The 27,385-nt window shown below is 34.7% G+C and overlaps 1 long non-coding RNA gene across 1 annotated transcript in view, besides 3 other annotated features; it reads left to right on the forward strand.

Moving 5' to 3' along the window:
- The window catches only part of LINC02465 (long intergenic non-protein coding RNA 2465), a 183,750-nt gene extending 161,005 nt beyond the window's left edge, over nt 1-22,745 (forward strand). Inside the window, exons 14-17 of the long non-coding RNA NR_151713.1 lie at nt 16,454-16,514; nt 20,651-20,716; nt 21,755-21,953; nt 22,629-22,745. This is a non-coding gene — a long non-coding RNA (long intergenic non-protein coding RNA 2465). The remainder of the gene's footprint in view (nt 1-16,453; nt 16,515-20,650; nt 20,717-21,754; nt 21,954-22,628) is intronic.
- Nucleotides 9,435-9,604: an enhancer, noted in NCBI's record as "experimental_74204 CRE fragment used in MPRA reporter constructs". NCBI's record gives its function as "activates a minimal promoter by MPRAs in K562 erythroleukemia cells, with activity observed for both the introgressed and non-introgressed 4:130863298 variant alleles {active_cell/tissue: K562}" and the evidence as "EXISTENCE:reporter gene assay evidence [ECO:0000049][PMID:34662402]".
- Nucleotides 19,669-19,838: an enhancer, noted in NCBI's record as "experimental_74235 CRE fragment used in MPRA reporter constructs". NCBI's record gives its function as "activates a minimal promoter by MPRAs in K562 erythroleukemia cells, with activity observed for both the introgressed and non-introgressed 4:130873532 variant alleles {active_cell/tissue: K562}" and the evidence as "EXISTENCE:reporter gene assay evidence [ECO:0000049][PMID:34662402]".
- Nucleotides 20,967-21,136: an enhancer, noted in NCBI's record as "experimental_74251 CRE fragment used in MPRA reporter constructs". NCBI's record gives its function as "activates a minimal promoter by MPRAs in K562 erythroleukemia cells, with activity observed for the introgressed 4:130874830 variant allele {active_cell/tissue: K562}" and the evidence as "EXISTENCE:reporter gene assay evidence [ECO:0000049][PMID:34662402]".
- Nucleotides 22,746-27,385: the final 4,640 nt, after the last annotated feature.

Here is a 27,385-nt window from a genome sequence, read left to right on the forward strand (position 1 = left end):
CTCAAAGTCATAAGTTATTATCAATCTGTCTTCAGAAGAGATGTTAGCTTACAAAAAATCTCTGAAGTTAAAGGAAAAGAATCAACTTGCATGAAACATATATTAACTCCCTTGTTTGAGGGACAGTATACAGCAAATTTTCTATACACTTATTGTTTCTGGACAATTCCATGATGAATCGATTGTGAAACTCATTACATTTTGGAGATTGACATTTAAACTCTGATTGAGACCAAGTATATTTTCTGCATGCAATCAGACTTCATTGATGTCTATACTATTCTAAGTATTATGCCAGGTACTATTCAGACGCTAGATAAAAGACTGTTAGGTTATACCATTGAAAATAAAAGCTTCTTGACTTCTCAATATATTTATTCTGATTTACTTACTTAGATTTTTAGATGTAGCTTTTATGTCATACTGAGGAGGAAATATCTGAAGGCTAAATGGAATTGTAATCCTCCAGAGTTGAAAGCATGCTAAGAAACTTTTAGTTGATTTCTTCCTTCAGTCAGGACTACACTATCTCAGATATGCAAAAATAATTCCAAGAATATTTTTAATATACAACAATTGTTTTACAGTATAAAAACCCTGAATCTAAAAAAATGTGGCTACACAACTAAAACATTTACTGAAGAAAATATTTTATCTTAGATGAGTAGAGTTTTCTGACAGCTTTTTTGATGACATCTAGGACAGTTAAGTTATGACCCTCAATTTCTGGCTTTCCTATTTGAATAAATACTTTTTTTCTTATGATTTTACTCTTTGGAAGATATGCTTAAATTAGCTTTAAGTACACATATATGTCAAAATAATATCTTGGTTTCTAATCATGTTCAGGTAAATATATATTGCATTTCTCAGAAATTCATTTAAGCTTTTTAGCTTGTTTTTTGTGACTTAAAGGGTCTTTTACTAAAAACACAAACAAAAAACTAGTATTTGCCTCATTAAATTTTTTTTTAAAAAACTAAAATACTCCAGAGCTTAGGTGTATAGTTTTAAGTTCTGTAAATTAAGATATTATTTGGCAGCAAACATTTTTTATTTGTTCAGCTAGATCTATTTATTTTATAACCAGCACTTTTAAATTTATCATTGTTATAAGATTTCATATATTTAAAAATTACTCTTACTCTGATTTATAGCCAGAACAATAATAAAATCACTCTTTTTCTGTAACATCTTCAACTAAATTTTATGTTCTGATACTATTTCTCTTTGGAGGACAACTTAGTTTTATGCGTCATCAACATGCAATAACTGGATAAATAATTGTTTATTTAGATCTAACTTACTTCCATAGAAATTGTGGCAAAATAAAGAGAAAATTGGATTGCTCAAATGAAAAAATTATTAGTAGTTTTGTGTGTTGTGAACTCCAAGAACCATTGTGGGGATTATTATTTAGATCCAGTGGTATTTGTTCCTGAGTTTGCAGTGATTTCCACAGTACTCCACAGGGTGGGTTTTTAAACAATTTTATATATTTAATTGTTTCATTTCATATGTATTTACGGTAACAATTGGTATTTATTAGCAATGGCCAGGTGTCTATTACGCCCAAAGTTTAGGAATACTTAAACATGGCTGTATCCTTTTTTAAAGTTGCATAAAAAGGTCCTTATATACAGGTATTTGTCCTGATAGAAAATAATTGATTAATAATGTACAAGGGGATAGTAGCAGCTGCATGGTAAACAAGGAAGTTCAGGAATAGAACACTTTAAGTAAGAGAGGAAAACTGTGGGCTTGGGAATTTCTGTGTCTAAAATGAGCATAGATTTTAAAATCTATTCATGTGTTTAAATGTCATAATATTATTGATATTCATATCTTAACCAGATATGCATTCCACAGCTAATATTTACACTATGATTTCATTATTACTTTCACAATTTATATTATTAGGTTGTTCCAAAAGTTATCGTGGTTTTAACCAAAAGAATAGCAAAATGCAATTAGTTTTGCACCAACCTAATATTCATTTTAAAGGTCATTGTATGTGGATTATAAGATATTTTTATAGCTTCCATTCTGCATTTTGCTAATGCACGTTTATATAGGTGAACAGAAAACATTCTCTCTTACTGGTATCTAATGCTAACATATTTTAACGGTAAAATTTGAGAAAATTAACTAAGATTTTGCACAGAACTAAGATCTTTGAAAACAATATTTTATTAAATGTATCATGAATCTACACTACAAGTACACAGTCTATCATCCACAACTCTGAAATCCAAAAAGCATCAAAATCACAAATCTTTTGGAAAACTACTTTTTTTTTTAACATAACCTACCTTTCCTGAATAAATGTATTGCTATTTATAGTGTTTATCTAGCTTAGAGTGATATGCATACATTTTGCTGCATATATATTAAGGTTTGATTACTATGTGAAGTGCTGATCCTACTGTGAGAATTACACAATACACAATATATGCATCAAATTAACCTTATAAAACTTGACAAATTTAGAATTATTAACATATCTAGCCCCAAGAGTTTTGGATATAGAACTGGGACTTGTGTTATTTAAACCAAGGTGAGATTTTAAAATCCTCTGTTCTGAAGTTGCATATCTTAAATTATTTGTGCACTATCAATTTGCTGTGAAGGTCATATAGAAAAGCAAATATTAAGGCTGAAACGTACTTAGAACTCATGCACTTCAATACTGCCTTTTTAACACAAAAACATATGGCCAATAAAACAATTGCTTTGTTTGAAATCACACTGCCAATAAGTGAATGATACAAGGACTGAATCCAACTCTATGTTCTATTATCACCCATTTAAACAAAATTCAGGTGAGCACTTGTTTTGTTTTGTTTTTGAGACAGACTCACTCTGTCGCCCAGGATGGCGTGCAGTGGTGCAATCTCAGCTCAATGCAGCCTCCACTTCTGGGGTTCAAGAGATTATCTTGCCTCAGCCTCCTGAGTAGCTGGGATTACAGGCACATGCCACCACACCCAGATAATTTTTTTTTAATTTTTAATAGAGATGGGATTTTACCATGTCACTCGGGCTGGTCTTGGACTCCTGGTCTCAAGTGATCCACCTGCCTCGGCTCCCAAAGTGTTGGGATTACAGCCATGAGGCACCACACCTGGCCTGGTGAGCACTTTTATATGCTAGGCATTTCTATATGGGTGATAGTTGACACCTTAAACTCAGCATACCCAACACTTGACGTGCTTCATCTTCCCCAATTCTTAAACGTCCTCTCAGGGTCCATTCTGGTTACAGGCATCACCACCCTACCAGGCACTCATTTTTAAAACTTTCATATTGCTTGTGGTCTCTCTTCTTTCTTTGGGTCCATATCCACTCAGCTGATGAGTACACTCAATTCTATCTCCTTGTTTCTTTCCCTCATTTCTTCTCACTCTTGTTGACATTGCTTCACTTAACACAGGGCTAAGTAGTTTATTGTCTGGATTATTGCAAGAGTGTAAGAGCTGCCTCTAAGGATCCCTACCTACAATCTCTTCATTATCCTCACAGTCATCAACAACTCACATTGACACCTCAGAGAGCAAAATTCTGGCAATGGGTCATCCTTCAATGAATAAGTAGTCATTAAAATTCTACTATATGCAAAGCAACATGCCAGCTATTTTGAAGCATTCAAAGAAAGGTAAGGCAGAATTTCTCGCCTTGTCAGAATTAGCTTAGCATCACTAAATTAGACCATCTACTTTAACCAGCACTCCAATGAATGAATCAATCAACAACAACAACAAATAGCTCTATAGGATACATGCCTTGTAAAACTACGTATGTGAAAGAAAATTCTCCCATAATACCTGTGGGCTTCTTGAATGAAAATATAGTGGATATTCACAGTGTTTAATTCCCATAAACTAAGTTTACCACGGAAGTCTTTCTCAGAGAAATCGAAATGGCCCAAAAAGTTAAAAAATAATTTTAAATATTTGTATAACTAAGGGGTTGTTATCAAAGGGTAGATATCTCTAGTGTTTTGATTTTTGATATATTCTAATGTACCTAAAAATCTCAATGTAAAGAAAGAAAGATGAACGGAAATAAGCTTCCATTGCTAATAATAATTATTACTATTATAAAACATAAAATTCTATCTCAGCAGTGGGCAGGAGAAACTGGGCAGACTACATTGCAGTTAGAAAATACTTTCCTTTATGGCTTTTATAAAAAATACAAAAAATAACAAGTGATGGTGAAGGTGTAGATAAAAGGGAATCCTGTACACCGTTGGTGAGAATGTACATTGGTGCAGCCACAATGGAATACAGTATGGAGGTCTGTAAATACATTTAAAGTAGAACTATCATGTGACCCAGCAATCCGTCTGCTGAATATATACAAAAGGATATTAAATCAGCACCTTGTAAAGACATCTTGTAAAGACACCTTGTAAAGCCAAGATAAGAAAACAAACTAAGTGCCCATCAAGGAATAAATGGATAAAGAAAATGTTATGTAAATAACAGAATATTATTCTGCCTTAAAAAAGGAAATCCTCCCATTTTTAACAGCATGCATGAACCTAGAAGACTTTTTTATAAGTGAAATAAGCCAGACACAAAGGAAAGGATGAAAGAAAAAATGATACATGATCTCGCTTACATGTGGAATTAAAGAAAAAAGAGAAAGATTGAATACATAGAAGCAGAGAGTAAAGTAGTGGTTGGGAGGTGGTGAAAGGCAGCGAGAAATAGGAAGACATAGGTTAAAAGCTATGAAGTTGCAGTTATGGTGGTAAATATGTCTAGAGACCTAATGTACAACATGAGGACCATAATTAATATATACTGTTATGTGCTGGTAATTTGGTAAGAGAGTAGATTTTAGGTACTCCACTGTAAGAAGGGTAACTGTATGAGATGATTAATATATTAATTTGCCTGACTGTAGTAATCACTTCATTATGTATGTGTATGTTAAGAATATCAAAAGACGATGTTATACACCTTAAATGTATACAATACAGAAAGAATTTTTTTAATGAGTTGTCATAGTCCTATTTCTGAGAATTATATTTTTCCTTTAGAAATGTGTGTACACATGCACATGTGTTTACTTGCTTTGTGTTAAGTCCTAGTTAACTTACAGTCAAAAAGAATGAGCCTGCATATCTACTTTTTTTGGCAGAGAAAATTCAGAGAGCTATACTTGAAGGGCTTAAGTTGAATAACAGAATAAGCTGCAGCATATACATTCATGCCTAAGGGTGAGCTTGAACTGCAACAACCCTAGGGGTTTCTTTAAAGACAGGTAAAGATTCAATGCTAAGGAATTTTGAAGAAGGAGGCAGTATTTCCATAGGTGGCATAGCTAAAGACATTACAAAGGGCTAGAAATTAATGTATATGTAAGTGCATCTGTTTTAAAGATCTACTTTTTTCCCTTTCAGTTGTTCCCCAAGACAGTCATATTAATAGCCATTAATATGAACATTATGTTCATTAGCATAAAACATTGCCATTCCATGTTTTATTTCTCTTTTGGTAGCTCAACAATTCAATAAGTCTGATGCAGTCACACAGTCTTTGGGTTTTTACATTTTGGGGAATAAATGAGCAGTGACCCCTGCAAAGATTGAGACAATAAGAAAGATAAGATTACATAATAGAAAGAAAAGTCATACCTGGGAATGCCTGCTTATTTCTCTCGTCCTATGGAGGAAGTTCAGAGTCTACACTTTTAATGAATACTGTGCAATATAGCATTATGATGACTACAGCATTGAGAATAACAATAGTACCTACTTATTATTGCAAAATTACATTCAATTAACACATGTAAATTCCTTAGAACATTTCTAGCATATAGTGAATATTACAACACTAATTATCATTTTAAGTTACAATAATAATATCATTTTCTAATGAGGATTAAATATAATTTAGTGATGCCTGAAAATTACTTAGCCCATTACAAGTGCTTTTTTCTTTTTCTTTTTTTTCTTCTCCTTCTCCTTCTCCTCCTCCCCTTTTTCTTCCACCTGTTCCTCCTGTGCCTCCATCTCTTTCTCCTGATCTTTCTTGTTCTCCTTCTTCCTGTATCAGCTATAAAGCACAGTTTAAAAGAGGGAATTAAAATTGGTCCCGTTATGTGAATATAGGAAGATTTAATCTTCATTTGTATCTAAAGTGTCTGTCTTCCAGTACTGTGGCCTCATAGTGCCCTTGATCCATATTCTTTGATTGATGAGAGAGTCAGAGGGATTAAGCACCATCTATGTGTTAAAGTATATCACAAATTGAAAGAAAAATAAATTATTTTACGGTTTTATATGCACAAGACACTGTGGAGGCACATTTTATGGTATGATCAAGTTCAGTTATTCTAGATGTGTCCCTTACTTACAACTCTAGTAACCATGTGAAATAAAAGGGAGATGTGTTTAGTTTAATGCAAATCTACCGTATATTATGAGCATTACTACTACATTTAAACAATTTCACGAAATTGTGTACTACTGTAATTGTAAATATTATATGTCTTGCTAAAGTTGAAAGAAAAAATATCTAAGCCTGAAGAGATTAAATAACTTTTTCCTAAGATCTAGAATCTGACACTACCAAAGAAAATTAAATAAGATGGGAGAGCAAATTAAAAGTATCTGCAGGGAAAAATACTTTTCTTAGTGTGTCTTTAATTTTTTTGGAATAGGGTCAGGTAAAATATTTTCCTTTAATATATGTGTAACTGAAAAGCTTAGCAACTTAGCCTCAAACTGCATTTTCAAACTTTTTTTTCCTTTCCCCTTTCCACCTAACCCTAACCCAGTTTCAAGATGTAGCTCTGAGATAAACCTTACAACCCCGAAATGTTTTCTTTCCCTTCCCTTTTCCACTTTATGCCCCCATGACTTATGCACATTTATTTACCTAGATTTTTTTTAAGCACACACCATACTCACTTATATAGTCATCTATTTCCTTAGAAGCTTCAAGGGTCAGATCCTGATATGGACAAGACACCGCTGAATTCTCTCTCCAACAAAAGATTACTTCAATGCAGGAACCAACTCCCAGCTGAAGATTGATTACAATATTAGCTATGATTGGCGGGACACTGTGACTCACGCTTGTGATCCCAGCACTGTGGGAGCCTGAGGCAGGTGGATCACCTGAGGTCAGGAGTTCGAGACCAGCCTGGCCAACATGGTGAAACCTTCTCTACTAAATACAAAAAATTAGCCGAGCGTGGTGGTTCATGCCTGTAATCCCAGCTACTCGGGAGGCTGAGACAGGAGAATCGCTTGAACGCAGGAGGCGGAGATTGCAGTGAGCCGAGATCACGCCACTGTACTCCAGCCTGGGTCCATCTCAACAACAACAACAAAATAAAAAAAAAAATAAATGAAAGATTGACTATAATTAATTTATAACCTGGTAGGACCATGATGGTGCCAGCCCTTTCACCAGATGGAACAATAACGCAAGATGAGCCATCTGAGCGAGTCACACCACTTGGCACCTCGTAGTACCTACCTGCGACCCTTTCTCTAAAAACCTCTGCATTCCCTCTACAAGTTGAAGAATGGAGTTGTTTTCTGCTCTTCCCCTTGCTGGCACAAATAAAAAGTCTTGATCTCTCTCTTTTTTTTTTTTTTTTTTTTTTTTTTTAATCACATCTATTATTATTTTGGCTTCTTTCTAAAAGTGGTGAGCGGTCAGACTCTTTTGCTGGTTACATACGGATTTTCATTTTGGAGTTTCAGGCTCATTCAAAACTACAGAAATTTACAAGTAACAAAGAGAGAGGAAATCCATAAATATCTTGATAATTAAAGCTTTATGAAATAAACTCAAGAAAAATATAATTTTAGACCTTCCAAGCTAATTTAACAAGTTTAATTTATTATACTTTTTTGGCTCTCAAGCAAACTGTTATAAATAGAGTAAGAGGTCAAAGAAAAATATTGCTAAAAAATTCTTATTCCCCTTCTTGCATCCCCTACCTGGATTAATGTCACTACCATCTACCTGCGCAATGGGGACCAGAAATATGAAAGCTCCTTTCATTTCTCTTATCATAAGTATCTTGGAAAATGCCTTTTTGAAATAGGTACTCAATAATATTTTTGAAATGAATGAGCAGATGAATGAATAGAAAGCTACTGAGAATTTACTGTTTTAATTAAAAACTAGAGAAGAAGAGTCTATCACTTTTTAAAATTGTCCTAAAAATTTTGGAATAAAAAGATCCCCAAGAAAATACTTTCTTCTTCAGTTGAGTAAGTACATCAGGTAATCTATATAAACCAATGGATACTGTCTACACTGCATTCTAAGCTCCCTTCTCCTTCTCTTTATAATGCTTCACTCAGCAAAGTATTGTGATACCAAGATGAATGTAATGACATTTTGTGACATATTGTCAATAAAAATGCATTCTCGGTTGAAGCGACACTATACAAGTACAGTTTAGAGGAAGAGGTACAGACACTTCAAACAAGCAAAAGAAATATAACATATGGCAGTGAGAATATTTGTAACTTTATGTAGGGTAAGAAAATATTTTTTCTATTCTCTATTCCTTTCTTCCTTGTACTAGAACTACACTTACTAAATTATGTAAGTCTTCATATAACTCTTTGAAAGCAAAATCTTAAGTATTTTAACAAAATCCATTCAGCTACAATCAACTCTTCTATTTTATTGTTTAATTAGAAGGTACTTCTGACACATCTAATCCAAAGCTCTCATTAAGTACTAGCAATAAAAGCTTTAATGTCAATCACATAGAAACTATGTGAATTTGACAAATTCTTTTAAACTATCACATAAACATATTAAAAACACGATTTCACGACCAAGAAATTTAAATAAGATGAAACAATTTTTATTTATGTAAACAGAGAAACTACATTAAAAATTAAACACCACCCAAATCATTATTGTTAACAATGTACTTCGCTTACACATGAACTAAAAGATTACATATTTTTTTATACCAAGTGTTTATTCATAGAAATAATTTGTTCCTGTCATTTAAAACCCTCAATCAAGTTTTACAATATTTTCTTTACCTAAAATTTAATTTAGATTGATAAAAATAGTGTATCTGAAAGGAAAACATGGTTAGCAGTAGAATTCAAATTTTAATAAATTCTTTTGGCTCTTATCTAAAAATATCATGGAATAAAATAATTTATATCAAATGAGCAATAGCTTCCCACATGGATTTAGTTTATCAATTACATTTGTAGCCCAATAATCCAATCTTGAGTCACTTTGCTAATATATGTATATAATTTAAGGAATTTAAATTATTTCCCTAGTTGCCATTTCAATATCTGTTACTTTCATGAGTTACAAGATGATTTATTTACAAGAATAAAAAAATGATTAGTCATGGTATGTTATTATATTGTTAAAGTCCTAATTTTAAGCCATTAACTTATATTGTTCTGAAAACTCTCAGCATCCATAAAATAGTTCAGATTTAATTGAAAAGATTTTTCTATAGATGGAGCACCTCTGTTTTCAAAAGTTGCCTTCTTCAGACTTGATACTACATTTCCATTCTCTAACACCACATTGTTTTAAGTAGAAAAGCAAATGAAAGCTATTATTTTTAATAATTTAGATTGACTCAGTTTGGGAGTTATTGCTTATAATCCAATCAAATGCTTTGAGATTATTTTAACATTTAGTTTTAAAAGCTAAATGCGTAACTCCCCACCTCCCTGATATTTGGCTTGCAAAACATAGAGGCAATGGAGTAAAATTTTGATAAATGAGATGAAAATCAAATTCTGGTTTGTTGTGTAAGAAAAGCATATGTTGAGATTTGGTTTGAGAATTTAGATAATTTCAAATAGTGACTAACATTAAACATGGAACTGTGATTTGTACCTATAACCATCAGTGCCCACTCTTGTGTACAAAACATTTCAAAGCATATATTCTGTTTTTAAGTAACTTGGTTCATTGTAATCTAAAAATGAAGAAATGCAATCACAATTTCCCAAGATCCAGGAATAGTTTAGGTGCTGGGAACATTACTTCCTCAAAATCATTACCTAATGTGATCATCTATTTACTATATCACATTCAAACAAGTAAAAATAAAAATAAAGATCAATCCTAATAAAAAAAAAACCCATGCATTGTATTTCTCATAGAAATACAAGTGACTATGGAATCAGCACTGTGGAATTCATGTTACTATTTATTTTTATTTCCCCAAAATTTTGACCTCTGTCCTCAAATTCCTAATACAGTGGAGAAATGGAAATTTCAGGTAGTTTCAGTTTCTCCAGAACATATCTCCTGGCTGCTATTTGGTTTTACTGTAATCTACAGCTAAGATTTTCATGTTGATCTTTCCATTATCCTTATTTTGGCTTTCTAATCTCACAGAATTAGCATCAAAGATTGGTGAAACATTGTTGGTGACATCTTGTCAAGAAATATTGTGGACTGCTTCTAAGGTTTTTATGGTTTTAGGTCTTATGTTTAAGTCTTTAATCCATCTTGAGTTAAATTTTTGCATAAGGCGTAAGGAAGGGGTCCAGTTTCAGTTTTCTGCATATAGCTAGCCAGTTTTCCCAACATCATTTATTAAATAAGGAATATTTTCCCCGTTGCTTGTTTTTGTCAGGTTTGTCAAAGATCAGATGGCTGTAGATGTATGGCACTATTTCTGAGGCCTCTGTTCTGTTCCATTGGTCTATATATCTGTTTTGGTACCAGTACCATGCTGTTTTGGTTACTGTAGCCTTGTAGCATAGTTTGAAGTCAGGTAGCGTGATGCCTCCAGATTTGTTCTTTCGGCTTAGAATTGTCTTGACTATATAGGCTCTTTTTTGATTCCATATAAATTTAAAGTAGATTTTTCTAATTCTGTGAAGAAAGTCAATGGTAGCTTGATGGGAATAACATTGAATCTATCAATTGCTTTGGGCATTATGGCCATTTTCACGATATTGATTCTTCCCACGATGAACATGGAATGTTTCTCCATTTGTTTGTGTCCTTTCTTATTTCCCTGAGCTGTGGTTTGTAGTTCTCCTTGAAGAGGTCTTCACATCCCTGTAAGTTGTATTCCTAGGTATCTTATTCTCTTTGTAGCAATCACGAATGGGAGTTCACTCATGATTTGGCTCTCTGTTTGTCTATTATTGTTGTATAGGAATGCTTGTGATGTTTGCACATTGATTTTGTATCCTGAGACTTTGCTGAAGTTGCTTATCAGCCTAAGGAGATTTTGGGCTGAGACGATGGGGTTTTATAAATATACAATCATGTCATCTTCAAACAGAGATAATTTGACTTCCTCTTTTCCTATTTGAATACCCTTTGTTCCTTTCTCTTGTCTGATTTACCTGGCCAGAATGTTCAATACTATATTGAATAGGAGTGGTGAGAGAGAATATTCTTGTCTTGTGTCAGTTTTCAAAGGGAATGCTTCCAGCTTTTGCCCATTCAGTATGATATTGGCTGTGGGTTTGTCATAAATAGCTCTTGTTATTTTGAGATACATTCCATCCATACCTAGTTTACTGAGTGTTTTTAGCATGAAAGTCTGTTGAATTTTATTGAAGGCCTTTTCTGCCTCTATTGAGATAATTATGTGGTTTTTGTCATTGACCCTGTTTATGTGATGGATTACGTTTATTGATTTGCACATGTTGAACCAGCCTTGCATCCCAAGGATGAAGCTAACTTGATTGTGGTGGATAAGCTTTTTAATGTGCTGCTGGATTCGTTGCCAGTATTTTATTGAGGATTTTTGCAGTGATGTTCATCAGGGATATTGGCCTGAAATTTTCTTTTTTTGTTGTGTCTCTCCCAGGTTTTGATATCAGGATAAGGCTGGCCTCATAAAATGAATAAGGGAGGAGTCTCTCTTTTTCTATTGTTTTGAATAATTTCAAAAGGAATGGTACCAGCTCCCCTTTGTACCTCTTGTAGAATGTGGCTGTGAATCCATCTGCTCCTGGGCTTCTTTTGGTTGGTAGGCTATTAATTACTGCCTCAATTTCAGAACTTGTTATTGGTCTATTCAGAGATTTGACTTCTTCCTGGTTTAGTCTTGGGAGGGTGCATGTGTCCAGGAATTTATCCATTTCTTCTAGATTGTCTAGTTTATTTGCAAAGAAGTGCTTATAATAGTCTCTGATGGTAGTTTGTATTTCTGTGGGATCAGTGGTGATATCCCTTCTATTATTTTTATTGTGTCTATTTGATTCTTCTCTCCTTTCTTCTTTATTAGTCTGGCTAGTGGCCTATGTATTTTGTTAATGTTTTTAAAAAAATCAGCTCCTGGATTCACTGATTTTTTGAAGGGTTTTTTAGTTCTCTATCTCCTTCAGTTCTGCTCTGATCTTAGTTATATTTTCTCTTCTGCTAGCTTTTGAATTTGTTTGCTCTTGCTTCTCTAGTTCTTTTAGTTGTGATTTTAGGGTGTCAATTTTAGATTTTTCCTGCTTTCTCATGTGGGCATTTAGTGCTATAAATTTCCCTGTAAGCAGCGCTTTATCTGTGTCCCAGAGATTCTGGTACAGCGTGTCTTTGTTCTCATTGGTTTCAAAGAACTTATTTATTTCTGCCTTAATTTTATTATTTACCCAGTAGTCATTCAGGATCAGGTTGTTCATATTCCCTGTAGTTATGCTGTTTTGAATGAGTTTCTTAATCCTGAGTTCTATTTGATTGCACTGTGGTCTGAGAGACTGTTTGTTATGATTTCCATTCATTTGCATTTGCTGAGGAGTGCTTTACTTCCAATTATGTGGTTGATTTTAGAATAAGTGCTATGTGGTGCTGAGAAGAATGTATATTATGTTGGTTTGTAGTGGAGAGTTCTGTGGATGTCTATTGGGTCTGCTTGGTCCAGAGCTGAGTTCAAGTCCTGAATATCCTTGTTAATTTTCTTTCTCGTTGGTCTGTCTAATATCGGCAATGCAGTGTTAAACTCTCCCACTATTATTATGTGGGACTCTAAGTCTCTTTGTAGGTCTCTAAGAACTTGTTTTATAAACCTAGGTGCTCCTGTATTGGGTGCATATATATTTGGCATGGTTAACTCTTCTTGTTTCATTGATCTCTACACCATTATGTAGTGCCTTTCTTTGTCTTTTTTAGATCTTTGTTGGTTTAAATTCTGTTTTATAAGAGACTAAGATGGCAACCCCTGCTTTTTTTTTTTTGCTTTCCATTTGCTTGGTAAATATTCCTGCATTCCTTTATTTTGAGCCTATGTGTGTCTTTGCACATGAGATGGGTCTCCTGAATACAGCACACAGAGGGGGCATGACTCGTTATCCAATTTGGCAGTCTGTTCTTTTAATTGGGGCATTTAGCCCATTTACATTTAAGGTTAATATTGTTATGTGTGAATTTGATCCTGTCATTACGATGCTAGCTGCTTATTTTGCCCATTAGTTGATGCAGTTTCCTCATAGTGTCCATGGTCTTTACAGATTGATATGTTTTTACAGTGGCTGGTACTGGTTTTTCCTTTTCATACTTAGTGCTTCCTTCAGGAGCTCTTATAAAGCAGGCCTGGTGTTGACAAAATCCCTCAACATTTGCTTGTCTGTAAAGAATTTTATTTCTCCTTCGCTTACGAAGCTTTGTTTGGCTGGATATGAAATTCTGGGTTGAAAATTCTTTTCTTTAAGAATGTTGAATATTGGCCCCTACTCTCTTCTGGCTTGTAAGGTTTCTGCAGAGAGATCTGCTGTTAGTCTGATGGACTTCCCTTTGTGTGAGTAAGCCGACCTTTCTCTATGGCTGCCCTTAACATATTTTTCTTCATTTCAACCTTGGTGAATCTGACGATTATGTGTCTTTGGGTTGCTCTTCTCGAGGAGTATCTTTGTGGTGTTCTCTGTATTTCCTGAATTTGAATGTTGGCCTGCCTTGCTAGGTCGGGGATGTTCTCCTGGATAATATCCTAAAGTGTGTTTTCCAACTTGGTTCCATTCTCCCTGTCACTTTTAAGTACACCAATCAAATGTAGGTTTGGTCTTTACATGTAGTCTTATATTTCTTGGAAGCTTTGTTCGTTCCTTTTATTCTTTTTTCTCTAATCTTGTCTTCACCTTTTATTTCATTAAGTTGATCTTCAATCTCTGATATCCTTTCTTCTGCTTGATCTATTCGACTATTGATACTTGTGTATGCTTCATGAAGTTCTTGTGTTGTGTTTTTCAGCTCCATCAAGTCATTTATGTTCTTCTTTAAACTGGTTATTCTAGTTAGCAGTTCCTGTAACATTTATCAAGGCCCGGCTCTTTGCTTCCTTTCCTTAGGTTAGAACATGCTCCTTTAGCTCGGAGGAGTTTGTTGTTATCCACCTTCTGAAGCCTACTTCTGTCAATTCATGAAACTCATTTTCCATCCATTTTTGTTCCCTTGCTGGTAAGGAGTTGTGATCCTTTGTAGGAGAAGAGGCATTCTGGTTTTTGGAATTTTCAGCCTGTTTTGTTGGCTTTTCCTCATCTTTGTGGATTTATCTACCTTTGATCTTTGATGTTGGTGACGTCCAGATAGGGTTTTTGCATGGGTGTCTTTTCTGTTGATGTTGATGCTATTGTTTTCTGTTTGTTAGTTTTCTTTCTAACAGTCAGGCCCCTCTTCTGCAGGTGTGCTGGAGTTTGCTGGAGGTCCACTCCAGACCCTGTTTGCCTGGGTATCACCAGCAGAGGTTGCAGAATGGCAAAGATTCCTGCCTGCTCCTTCCCCTGGAAGCTTCGTCCCAGAGGGGAACCCGCCAGATGCCAGCTGGAGCTCTCCTATATGAGGTGTCTGTCTACCCCTGCTGGGAGGTGTCTCCCAGTCAGGAGGCATAGGTGTCAGTGACCCACCTGAGGAGTCAGTCTATCCCTTAGCAGAGCTCAAGTGCTGTGCTTGGTGATCCACTGCTCTCTTCAGAGCTGACAGGCAGGAACGTTTAAGTCTGCTGAAGCTGCGCCCACAGCCGCACCTTCCCCCAGGTGATCTGTCTCAGGGAGATGGAAGTTTCATCTATAAGCCCCTGACTGGGGCTGGTGCTTTTCTTTCAGAGATGCCCTGCCCAGAGAGGAGGAATCTAGAGAGGCAGTCTGGCTACAGCAGCTTTGCCATGCTGTGGAGGGTTCTACCCAGTTCGAACTTCCTGGCGGCTTTCTTTACACTGTGAGGGGAAAACTGCCTACTCAAGCCTCAGTAACGGCAGACACCCCTTCCCCCACCAGGTTGGAGCATTCTAGGTTGACTTCAGACTTCTGTGCTGGCAGTGAGAATTCCAAACCAGTGGTTCTTAACTTGTTGGGCTCCATCAGGGTGGGATCTGCTGAGCGAGACCACTCGGCTCCCTGGCTTTGGCCCTCTTTCTAGGGGAGTAAATCGTTCTGTCTCACTGGTGTTCCAGGGCAACTGGTGTACAAAAAAAAAAAAAGAAAGAAAGAAAAAAGAAACTCCTGCAGCTAGCTTGGTGTCTGCCAAAATGGCTGCCTAGTTTTATGCTTGAAACCCAGGGCCCTGGTAGTGTATGCACCTGAGGGAATCTCCTGGTCTGCAGGTTGTGAAAACCTTGGAAAAAGCATAGCATCTGGGCCAGATAGCACTGTCTCTAATGGCACAGTCCCGCATGGCTTCCCCTGGCTAGTGGAGGGAATTCCCAGACCACTTGCACTTCCCAGGTGAAGCAACACCCTACCCTGCCCCTGCTTGCCCTCCGTGGGCTGCATCCACTGTCTAAGCAATCCCAATGAGACAAACTGGGTACCTCAGTTGGAAATGCAGAAATTACCCACCTTCTGCATTGGTCTCACTGGAAGCTGTAGACTGGGTCTGTTCCTATTCAGTCATTTTGCCAGCCCCTTGATTATTTCAATTTCTTCAACCAATTCATATAGCCTCCAATGCAAATATACTATGTTTTTGTTTATAAGCAACTTAGAATATGTTATCATATTAATCTCTTAAACTTGTGGCGTATAAATCAGGTAAGGCTGACTGCACTTGACAAACAATTTAACAGCCTAGCTTAAGACATTTAACTGGGAATTGATAGAACTTGGGTTCAACCTTACCTTATACTTTCGAGCCTATTCTTATTTGTATTACTTTACAGTTACTAAAAATACTTGGGGATATGTATATTTTTTATGGAAAAGTAATTGATTATATCCTTTGACAACTTTAATTATTCTCCCTCAATCAACTATTTCATACACTAAGTCAAGCAACAATTTTGGTTAAACTATTTGACACATGATTGACTATTAATCAATTAAGCTGGTGGCTTGTAGACGCAGTTGTAGCAGTGTTAAACTAACAGTCAAAAGCAGTCTTGAATCCAATTGAGTCTCCTTCATCTGCTTGTATAATACTAGATAATTTCTTACTAAAATATAGTTTATTATAATTATGATATTACAGTTATTATTATGTGTTTGAGGGAAATAATTTCATTGTATATTTTTTATATTTGTATATTTCTTCAGGTTTTCTCTTCATAATACCTACGTCATCTAGTAGCATAACATAAGGCAGAATCCTTCAAAGGTAAGGAGAGAATCCTTCACTGAGTTGCGTTAAAAATGTTCATGGCAGAGATATGGTTTATCATTTTGGGCTGTCCTTGGTAAAAGCTATGTTATTATAGTCATCATCACAGTGTTAAACACGAACTCTGCAGTCCCAAGGTATATCATTCAGTGTGATGTGGTGGATAAACCCCTGCACTATAGGTAAGAGCTGGATGGGGTCTCAGCTCTGGCACTAACAAATTATGGGGGAATCTTAGCTTCTCAATCTATAAAACATGCTTCCTGAAAAGTGTGGAGTTTCATCACCTAAAAATTATCTTCTACTTCAACAGTTCTTTCACTGTAGACTTGTTTGCTTGAGTAAAATCTATTGATTTTATATAAACATGACAAAGGCTCCCTGTTTATTGTTTAAAAACAAGTAAAACAAAAGTTAGTCCTAATCCTTGTATTGAGAATTTGGGTCCAATCCTAATTAGTTCCTGTGTTTTATGTTCATTAGAATATACACTTGTATTGGTAGTAGTAAGAAGGACTGCTGTTAGTTTGGTGCAAAAGTAATTGCAGTTTTTTCCATTAAAAATAATGACAAAACACAGTTATTCATAATTTACTTTCTTTGTATTTCTTTTCGTTAACTTTAACATAATATTTCCATGATAAAAAACTATATAGTAGCAAAGTAAAGGTCTCATATTTCACTTTGATGTAAGTAAATATGTGGAACTCTATATATATCATAGTAATTTAGAATAAAGGTATCATATTAGATTTTTCACAAGCAAAATAGTTGTAGTACCACTGCAGAACAGTGTTGGCAGTTTAATTCAAATACTAACTTTTGTTTTGTTAATTTTAATAAGACATAGAAGCAGCATTAATAATTTAAAAACATATTATATTGCTTATGAAACTATTTAAGCACTTTCAAATTGTAATATGACTTTTAGCAGAGTGCTGACCAAGAAATCATCCTCTAAACATTTCTAAGAAAAAAAAAATAATAACAAAAAAACTTATAGTATTACCAAAATTTTGCAAAAATATTTACAGATTTTACTAGTATGTAAAATTTTTTGCATATCAATCTATTAAATATTAAGAGTATTGAATTTAGTTTACTGTATTATTTTTAGTTATTTCTACTAAGTCAGTATTTAGAGAGCATTTATCCATGTGCGTATTAGAGAGATTGGGGGATGTCCGAGGACCAAAATAAAGAAAAAAAAGTGAATGAAGTTTCACTTCTCCTCTTGCCTGTGAAATGTGGTGTCTGAGGAAGAATGAAGATATTCTTACTGTCCATACTCATCATTTTTCAGATGGTTTGTATTTTTACAGAGAATGTCATCCTAAGTCTTGAATTATGGTTTCAAAACTATGTCTAAGTAGCACTTACCCTAGATATCTCAAATGCCTAGCTTAATATGCCATAACGTCTCTTCACCATCTTTCCTGAGCTGCTCTTTTTTCATACTTCCTCAAGACAGGCTTTTATTCATGGCATTTCTTCAGCTTAGAGCGTATTTTGCCCCCAGTATACCCCAAAAGCACAGTTTAATAATTTTTCTTTCAAAAGTTTTCCCCCAATATCATGGCCCCATCTTTTTCTTCCATTCTCTGATCTACCCTCCTACACAGGAGATAAATATTATATAATTGTCATGTTTATGGCAGACTCACCCTTAATGTAAGTTCCATGAGGGCATGGATTTCATCTCATTTGCCAGCATTCAGAACAGTTTTTGATACTGATTGAATATTTTTTAAATAAATAAATGTTTGTCTCTTTTTTTGTTCTGGAGAGATACTTTCTTTTACATGCGGTTATTATGCTTAGATGCGTAGGGAAATACTAGGTGGTTAACCTAAGTTAACCAGAAATAAATTTTCTGGAGAGTATTTAAGATTATGAAGCATGTATTTCCACAATATGCTTCTAGAAAAGGGAAGAAAGAAAGGAAGGAAGGAAGGAAGGAAGGAAGGAACGAAGGAAGGAAAGAAGGAAAGAAGGAAGGAAAAGACAGAAGGAGGGAGGGAGGAAGGGAAGGGAAAGGAAAAAAGGAAGAAGAAGGCACACTCAAAATTACAGAAACACCACAAATTACATTGTAGTTCTGAAAAGACAGTTATCTAACTTCGAATTATCTCTTTGAAATTCGCTAAACTGAAAATGCACGTTTAATATACCCACATAATACCTTGAGTATACAGACGGAATGCTTGGTGTAACATTTATTCTTTTTTTCCTCTTAGATTTCACACCCTTGGAAAAAAAAACAAAACCCTAGGAACAAGTGCTAAGTCATTTGATTTACTTCAAATTTCTTTGCTTTAGGATTATAAATCAGACTCTTATTGTCACTTTAATGCAGAAAGGATTCTTTTGTGTTCATAATATAGATCAAGATGTGATTTAAGTTGAATCTTGTCAAGGTAACTCCTTTTTAAACTATGAGAAGAGATTTGGCTGTAGCCCAAAACTAATGGGACTCATATTTTATAATAAAAAGCAATATGTTAGTAATAGAGGCTTTGCTGCTTCTTGCTGTCTCCACAAGCACAAATTCTTGTCAGTTTTCACAGCTAATGCATTTTTTGTCCAGTCATAAGCACTTTTAAAAAGTCTCTACTTAATATTGTGGAAGACAGAAATTCTAATTTTCCAAAGGAAGCAGTGAAAATAGAGATCTTAGCCTGGAGGAATAAGATATAAGATGCTTGACTATCAAAAGAATCCCATTTTGAAAAGACAGACCATCAGAAAGTAGTGTGAATATAAAACTGAACAAATCTTCAAATTGAACATAAAGGGGTGTCACACTTCCAGTATCTTTCCTCTTCCCCACATTTTAGAAAGGATCTTTCAACTGATCAAATGTAAAAGATGATAGGAAGTAATTTATATTGTTCACATCTACTATTTAATGACTTCTTTGAGAAATGAAAGCTAATTTCACTTGTGTTTGCCATATACTGCAGACACTTGTCACACATTGCATATAGCTCTTGTAAGGGTACTTGTCTGTAGTGTCGAGTTAAATATTGATATAAAATTATAGCAAAAGTTTCAGGACAACTAGTTACTTAAACTTTTAAACTCTGTGACTTCCAATCTGAAAAAGCCAAAGGAATATTGCATAGAAAAAAATGCCAGTGTGAGCAATGACTAGTCAAGTGGGAAAAATTAACTTAGAAATTGCTGATTATATTAATAAGTCATCTTCCTAGAAAACCAAGTCAGTTCTACTTATTAGATTAACAAATTTTATAAAAATAAAAGACTAATTTAATTTAAAACATTGACTTATGGATATTTAACTGATTCTTCAACTATTACATTGTATGTAAGATTTCCAAAGCTAACATTTGCCTAAAATGATACTTCCTAGATCTTCAAAGAGTTTCAACATTTCAAGGACATTCATATAATATTTTAATATTTACTTTTCAATTATGCAAGTGTACTATGCTCCCACTGTTATGCCTTACTTCATGTTTTTTTCCCCTTCGTGGAGGTGTAAAAAATGGAGGAGAATACTATTCTTTGATGTCAGTGTGGCTGTCTTCAAGAAGTATTATCAGTGGCTTAGTAGCTGGGACTTTTCTTCTTTACTCCTGAGTGCCCCGGAATAAATTTATTATGTCACAGATAGATTCCTTTTTATTTTTCTCCTTGAAACTTGTGATAATAGTTCTCCTTATTTATATGATCCAATTCCAAGTAGCAATTAAGCCGCCTTGAATATTGTAATAAAATCACTTATCTCATCTTTTTTTATTCTTCACAAATTGGTTTGCACAGTAATAGAAGTATCTTTTATAACTTTTTCATATGAAATCACTGAAGTTCATAAAATTTAAGTAAATGGTAAAGTCAGGATGTAAATGTAGGTCTTGTAACTCTAGTATCCTTTTCTCCTCTCCCAAGATTACTTCACATTAATTTTTAAGGCAAAGTTACCAACTTTTTTAGGATCATAAACTTAATAACTAAAGTATCTCTAAGTATTAGCAAGAGGAGTAAAGATGAGTCTTAAAGAGAGAAAGTTAATTCCTACAAAAATGTACACATGTGCCTTCTTATTTTCTTATTATGAGAACTATTGTGCCCAATAAAACACTTCAATACAACCTGAAACTTTGTTTCAGATTTTCACCTGAACTTTTCTTGAGCATCTCTAGACAGTCACATGCAGAATAACAACTGGGTTTTAGGTAAATAATTTTTAATATATTATCTAATAAGGGGCATTTAGTGTCATTAACTAGACAGTCTGTTACTAGGACACATAATCATTTTTATAGTCCTAGAATGTTATATTCAATGTCTTCTTTAGGGCATTTTTATTTTAATTAACTTATTTATATTACTAAGTAATTTTATATTATTTAATTGTTATATTTTATAATTCTTCAAACTTTTAAATTAGCTGATTTTGTCTTTGAAACCAGTAATTATTATTTAAAAATCATTACTTTTTTTGTTGATCCTAGTTATATGCTAATAATGGAGAAGTATGTGAATAACTTTGTATAAGCCCTTTGTTTAGTAAAGTGAAAGAATATCATTCACTTAATTCTGTGTCTTGATTTAACTTTTCTTAATGTGTACTTGTTGTCCATTAATATTCTCCCTAAGTAATCTCATCCACTGTCATTGATTCAGCTGCCAAAGATAGGATGAGAACCCTTGAATTTTTATCTTCAATCTAGAACTTGTCTTGAACTACAAATTATATGTCTAATGCCTTACTAGATAGTTCTACTTTTATGTCTTAAACACAATTTAAACTAATGGTTTCATAACCCTCCCCCACCTTCCCAACTATCCTTCCTCTGCTGTTTTAAAACATATTAAATGATAATTATATACACCAAGTTGTTGAAGCCAGCAGTTTTGGAATCATCCTTGACTCTTCTCTTTTCCTTACTCTTCCTTCAACAAATGTTATTATTTTGTGTTAATAAAAAATTTAACTTACTAGTTACTCACCAAATGTTAATGATCCACACCCTCTCCATCATTTTGTCAACTTCTTTTCACCTCCATTGCCGTTGCTGTAAGCCAGACACCCACTGCCCTTTACTGCCCAAACTAGGGATAGAGCCCCTTGGCCTTCTTTATAGTTCAGATCCAATCTTTCTTTAATCTACACTTTTCCCTGTTACAGAGTCATTGTTTAGAAATGCAAGTCTAATTACACCTTCACCTTACCAAAAACCCTTTAATAATTTCCCTTTGCCATTTTTTAGGTGTACCAAGTTCTTAGTATGGAAAAAAGATATCCTACAAAATTTTGTCTCTACACATGTTGAAGTTCATCTCTCACCCCTCTCTACTCTCTTACTTATGCTTCAAGCAAATGGAATTACTTTTTTTCATACTGAGACATTAAAACAGGAAATCCTTCTTCCTAGGACTCCTGTTCACCACCACTACCTCTACACATAGGTAGGTTTACATCATCCTTTGTGTATTAACTAAGATCTCACTTTTTTTTTGTGAATCTCCCCTGAGTAGATAGGGTGCCTCAGTTAATAATTTCTCTGTATCTCCCTTCATGACATTCATCAAAATTGTAATTATTTGTTTATTGTCTTGATATTTCTCTCTAGGATTTAAATTTCATGGAGGAATAGACTATTTTATTCCCTCTGCTAAATTCTTTGTTTCTGTCAGAGGAACAAATAATGCATGCAAGAAGCAATTGAGTAATTGAATACCGTTTTGATCCTTGACAATTTGTCCACTATACTATCCATTTCTTGAACCATAAAGCCATCTGCTTTGTGGACAAATATACATTAACCTATTTATATCCAAGTTCTTTACTTTGGGGTAATTAGTGTTCGTCCTTTGATCCTGCCATTCTGTCAACTGTAAATAGTGATTTTCACAAATTTGGGACCCTTCTCAAGTAAGCAAATTGTATTTCCTCAATAGTTAAACTAAGCCTTTAACAATTATTTGCCAAATATTTTAAAAATTTATAAAAATAAATTGAATGGGACATGCCAATCTAGAACCTAAAGATTTTAGAAACCAAATTACAAACTTTTTAATCTCATAAATTGAAGTTATACCTTTATAACCCACACTAATTCCACTTATTTTTTTTTACGACAGCAGATCCACGTAAGACACTTGCATCCAAGACAAGTCAGAATGATTACATATGAAAGTTTTAATTGCACTGTATGGGGATATTGCTGTGTTGTGAATTAAATAAGAATTCATATTTTCTTATTATGGGATTATGATTTGATATTTTCTGTGATCTTGTCAAATATATTCTGCATTCTAATCTCCATTCTGTTACCATGCTACAATCTACTGCTATTTATAAATCATTTGGAATTCTTTGTTTGCCATGTAATGTTCAGAAAGGGGAGTGTCACTGACCAGTTCCTTTCAAAAAGGTGTGCAATATTGCCACTTATTACCGTTACCATCATGGACTGTGTAACACATGCAATGGATCTGAGCTCATAACTGCTTTAATTCTGATAAAGCAAGAGGCCACAGAGAGGAAGGATTTTTCACCAGATTAAGTTTTAAGCAGTACTAACTTAAAAGAGTAATAATGCCTAGGAACTCTCAACTTCAAAGTACTTATGGATTTACTTGAAAAGATGGATATTTTAAAATTTTCTAATCAGAAAGTGTTAGAGAAGATGTGGAGAAAGGAGAACCTCACACCCTGTTGGTGGGAATTTAAATTAGTACAGCCATTATGGAAATAGTATGGAGGGTCCTCAAAAAATTAAAAATAGAAAAACCATATGATCCAGCAATCCAACTACTGGGTAGATATTGGAAGGGGACAAAATCAGCATCTCAAAGGTATGCCCATGTTCACTACATCACTATTCACAACAGCCGAGATACAAAAACAATCTAAATGTCCTTCCACATATGAAGGGATAAAGAAAATGTGGTGTGTATACACAGAGTGGGATAATATTCAGCCACAAAAGAAGGAAATCCTGCCATTTGTGTTAACATATGATATAGTTTGGCTGTACCCCCACCCGAATCTCATCTTGAATTGTAGTTTCTATAATTCCCACATGTCATGGGAGAGACCCAATGGGAAGTGATCGGATCATGGGGAAGGTTTCCCCCATGCTGTTCTTGTGATAGTGAGTGAGTGAGATCTGATGGTTTTATAAGCATCTGGCATCTTCCCTGCTGGCACTTCTCTCTCCTGCCACTGTGTGAAGACGAACATGTTTACTTTTCCTTCCACCATGATTCTAAGTTTCCTGAGGACTCTCCAGCCATGTGGAACTGTGAGTCACTTAAATGTCTTTTCTTTATAAATTATCTAGTCTTGGGTATTTCTTCATAGCAGTGTGAGAATGGACTAATATAACATGTATGAATAGGAAGGATGTTATGTTAAATAAGCCAGGGACAGAAAACAAATATAGTCATGTACCACATAATCTTTTAGTCAATGATGGACACATATGGGATGAGTTCCAATAAGATGAAAATGAAGCTGAAAAATCTCTATTCCTTAGTGACTTCATAGTCACCACCCTAACACTGCAGTGCAGCACATTATTCTCGTATTTGTGGTGATGCTGGTGTAAACAAACCTGCTGGGCTACCAGCAGTATAAACAGTAGCACATATAGTTATGTGCAATACATAATATAATAAAGATAAATGACTATATTACTGGTTTATATATTTAATATACTATTCTTTTTATCAATATTTTAGAGCATACTCCTTCTACATATTAAAAGAATAGCAAACTGTAAAACAGGCTTAGGCAGGTCCTTCAGGAGGAATTCCAGAAGAAGGCATTGTTATCCTAGGAGATGACAACCACGTTCATGTTATTTCCTTTAAAGACCTTCCAGTAGGACAGGATATACTGGTGGAAGACAGTGATAATGATTCTGCCCCTGTGTAGGCCTAAGTTAATGGGTGCGTTTGTTTCTTAGTTTTTGACAAAAAAATTTGAAAAGTAAAATAAATAAATAAATAATATGAAAAAGCATATAGACTAAAAATATAAAGAAGGAAAATATTTTTACTGCTGTACAATGTATTTGTGTTTTAAGGTGTTATTACAAGAATCAAATTTTTTAAAAAAAATAACAGTTTCTAAAGTGGAAATAAATGTTACAATAAATTGGGAGGCTGAGGCAGGCAGATCACAAGGTCAGGAGATCAAGACCATCCTGGCTAACATAGTGAAACCCTGTCTCTACTAAAAATACAAAAAATTAGCCAGGCGTGGTGGCAGGTGCCTGTAGTTCCAGCTACTTGGGAGGCTGAGGCAGGAGAATGGCATGAAACTGTGAGGCGGAGCTTGCAGTGAGCCGAGATCACGCCACTGCACTCCAGCCTGGGCGACAGAGCGAGACTCCGTCTCAAAAAAAAAAAAAAAAAAAGTTACAGTAAATTAAGGTTAATTATTTAAGAAAGAAAATATTTTTTATCAATTCAGTGTAGCCTAGGTGTACAGTGTTTGCGTTTGCAAAGTGTCATATAATAATGTTCTAGGCCTTCATATTCACGCGCCACTCACTCACTGACTTATCCAGAGCAACAACAGTCCTGAAAACTTCATTCATGATAAATACCCTATGTAGTTAGGCCATTTTTTTAATGTTTTATATCATATTTTATTGGGCCTTTTCTATGTTTAGATACACAGATACTTACACTGTTACAATTCTTTACAGTCTTCAGTACAGTAGCATTCTATACAGATTTGCAGCCCAGGAACAGTAGGCCATTCTATACAGCTTAGGAGCGTAGTAAGCTATATCACCTAGATTTGTGTAAGTAGATGATAATGTTTGTATAACAAGGAAATCATCTAAGGACACATTTCTTAGAATATAACCCTGTTGTTAAGCAATGCATGACTATACCATACTCATATGTGGAATCTAAAAATGTTGAATTCAGAAGTAGAGAGTAGAATTATGGTTACCAGGGACTGGAGGTTATCGGGGTTTGGGGAGATGTAGATCAAAGGTTACATAGTTTCAGTTAGAGAAGAGGACTAAATTCAAGACCTCTATTGTACAACATGGTAACTATAGTTAATGACAATGTATTATATTCTTAAAAATTGATAAGACAGTAGCCTTTAAGTGTTTGTTTACCACAAAAGAAGTATGTGAGGTAATACATATGTAAATTAGCTTTAGTCATTTTACCATGTATATGTATTTCAAAACATATTCTACACGATATATACAATTTTTATTTGTCAAATAAAAAATAAATTGAAATAAAAAAGAAAATGCATCAATACAGCAAAGCTTGCTAACTTGCCCTAGTACCTATTCTCACACCACCCCTTTCCAATCTTGTTTTAGCATGATCCATGGGAATCCGGGTGGAGACTATATTTCCTGGCTTTCCTTGTCTATTCACATGTTACTAACTTCTCACTAATAGAAAATAAGCATCTGTCTTTATGGTAGAGCAATCTGTATTCCTTTGGGTATATACCCAGCAATGGGATTGCAGGGTAGCATGGTAGTTCTATTTTAAGTTCTTTGAGAAATATCTAAACTGCTTTCTACAGTGGCTGAACCAATTTACATTCCCACCAGCAGTGTATAAATGTTCCCTTTCTCAGAAACCTCACAAGCATCTGTCATTTTGACATTTTAGTAATAGCCATTCTGATTGGTGTCAGATGATATCTCACTGAGATTTTGATTTGCATTTATCTAATAATTAGTGATGTTGAGCATTTTGTTTCCTATACTTGTTGGTCATATGAATGTCTTCTCTTGAGATGTATCTGCTTATGTCTTCTGCCCATTTTTAAATAGGGTTGTCTGTTTTTAGCTTGATAATTTGTTTAAGATCCTCATAGATTCTGGATATTAGACCTTTGTCAGGTGCATAGTATGCAAATATTTTTCTCCCATTCTGTAGGTTGTTTATTTACTCTGTTGATAATTTATTTTGCCGTGTGGAAGCTCTTCAGTTGAATTAGGTCCCACTTGTCAATTTTTGTTTTTGTTAAAATTGCTTTTGGAGTCTTTGTCATAACATCTTTGCAAGGCCTTTGACCAGAATAGTATTTCTTAGGTTTTCTTCAAGAGTTTTTATAGTTTTAGGTTTTACGTTTTCTGTTGATAATTTCTTTTGCTGTGTGGAAGCTCTTCAGTTGAATTAGGTCCCACTTGTCAATTTTCGTTTTTGTTAATATTGCTTTTGGAGGCTTTGTCATAACATCTTTGCAAGGCCTTTGACCAGAATAGTATTTCCTAAGTTTTTTCGAGAGTTTTTATAGTTTTAGGTTTTACATTTAAGTCTTTAACTTACCTTGAGTTGACTTTTGTGTATGGTGTAAGGAAGGCATACAGAGTCAATCTTCTTAATGTGGCTAGCCAGTTATCCCAGCACCATTTGTTCAAAATGGAGTCCTGTGAGAGATCGGTCAGGGTGGTAGGAGAAATTGTAAGAAAAAAGGAAAGATGTGAACCTTCTTGGAAGGCTGGGAGGTTTTGCAAAAGCTTCGAAAGAGGATTTGGCTGAAGGCAGCCAGATTCTCTTATCAGGAGCCTGAAAGCAAAGGGTAGATAACAAGGGAATGTAAAGGAACTTATCTAGATAAATTTGTTTATTCTGGTCTCCAGAAACCAACCTGTGATCAATCACATGCAGGACTGCTCTCTACTCAGGGGTCGACACTGTTAATTACCCAAAAACTGTGTTTGCTCCAGGCCTTTGTCATTAAATCTCTACTAAATAAATGCAAGCATCACTGCCATGGGGGGCTGCTAACTCTCTTCAGCCCCCAGTGCTGGCAGTCCCCTAGCCTGCTCTTTCACTGGATACCTGTGTCTGAGTACTGCTTTCATCTGTCGCTCGGCCAGAGTCTGCAGGACAGA

This window comes from Homo sapiens, chromosome 4 (assembly GCF_000001405.40).
Source record: "Homo sapiens chromosome 4, GRCh38.p14 Primary Assembly".
NCBI lineage: Eukaryota > Metazoa > Chordata > Mammalia > Primates > Hominidae > Homo > Homo sapiens.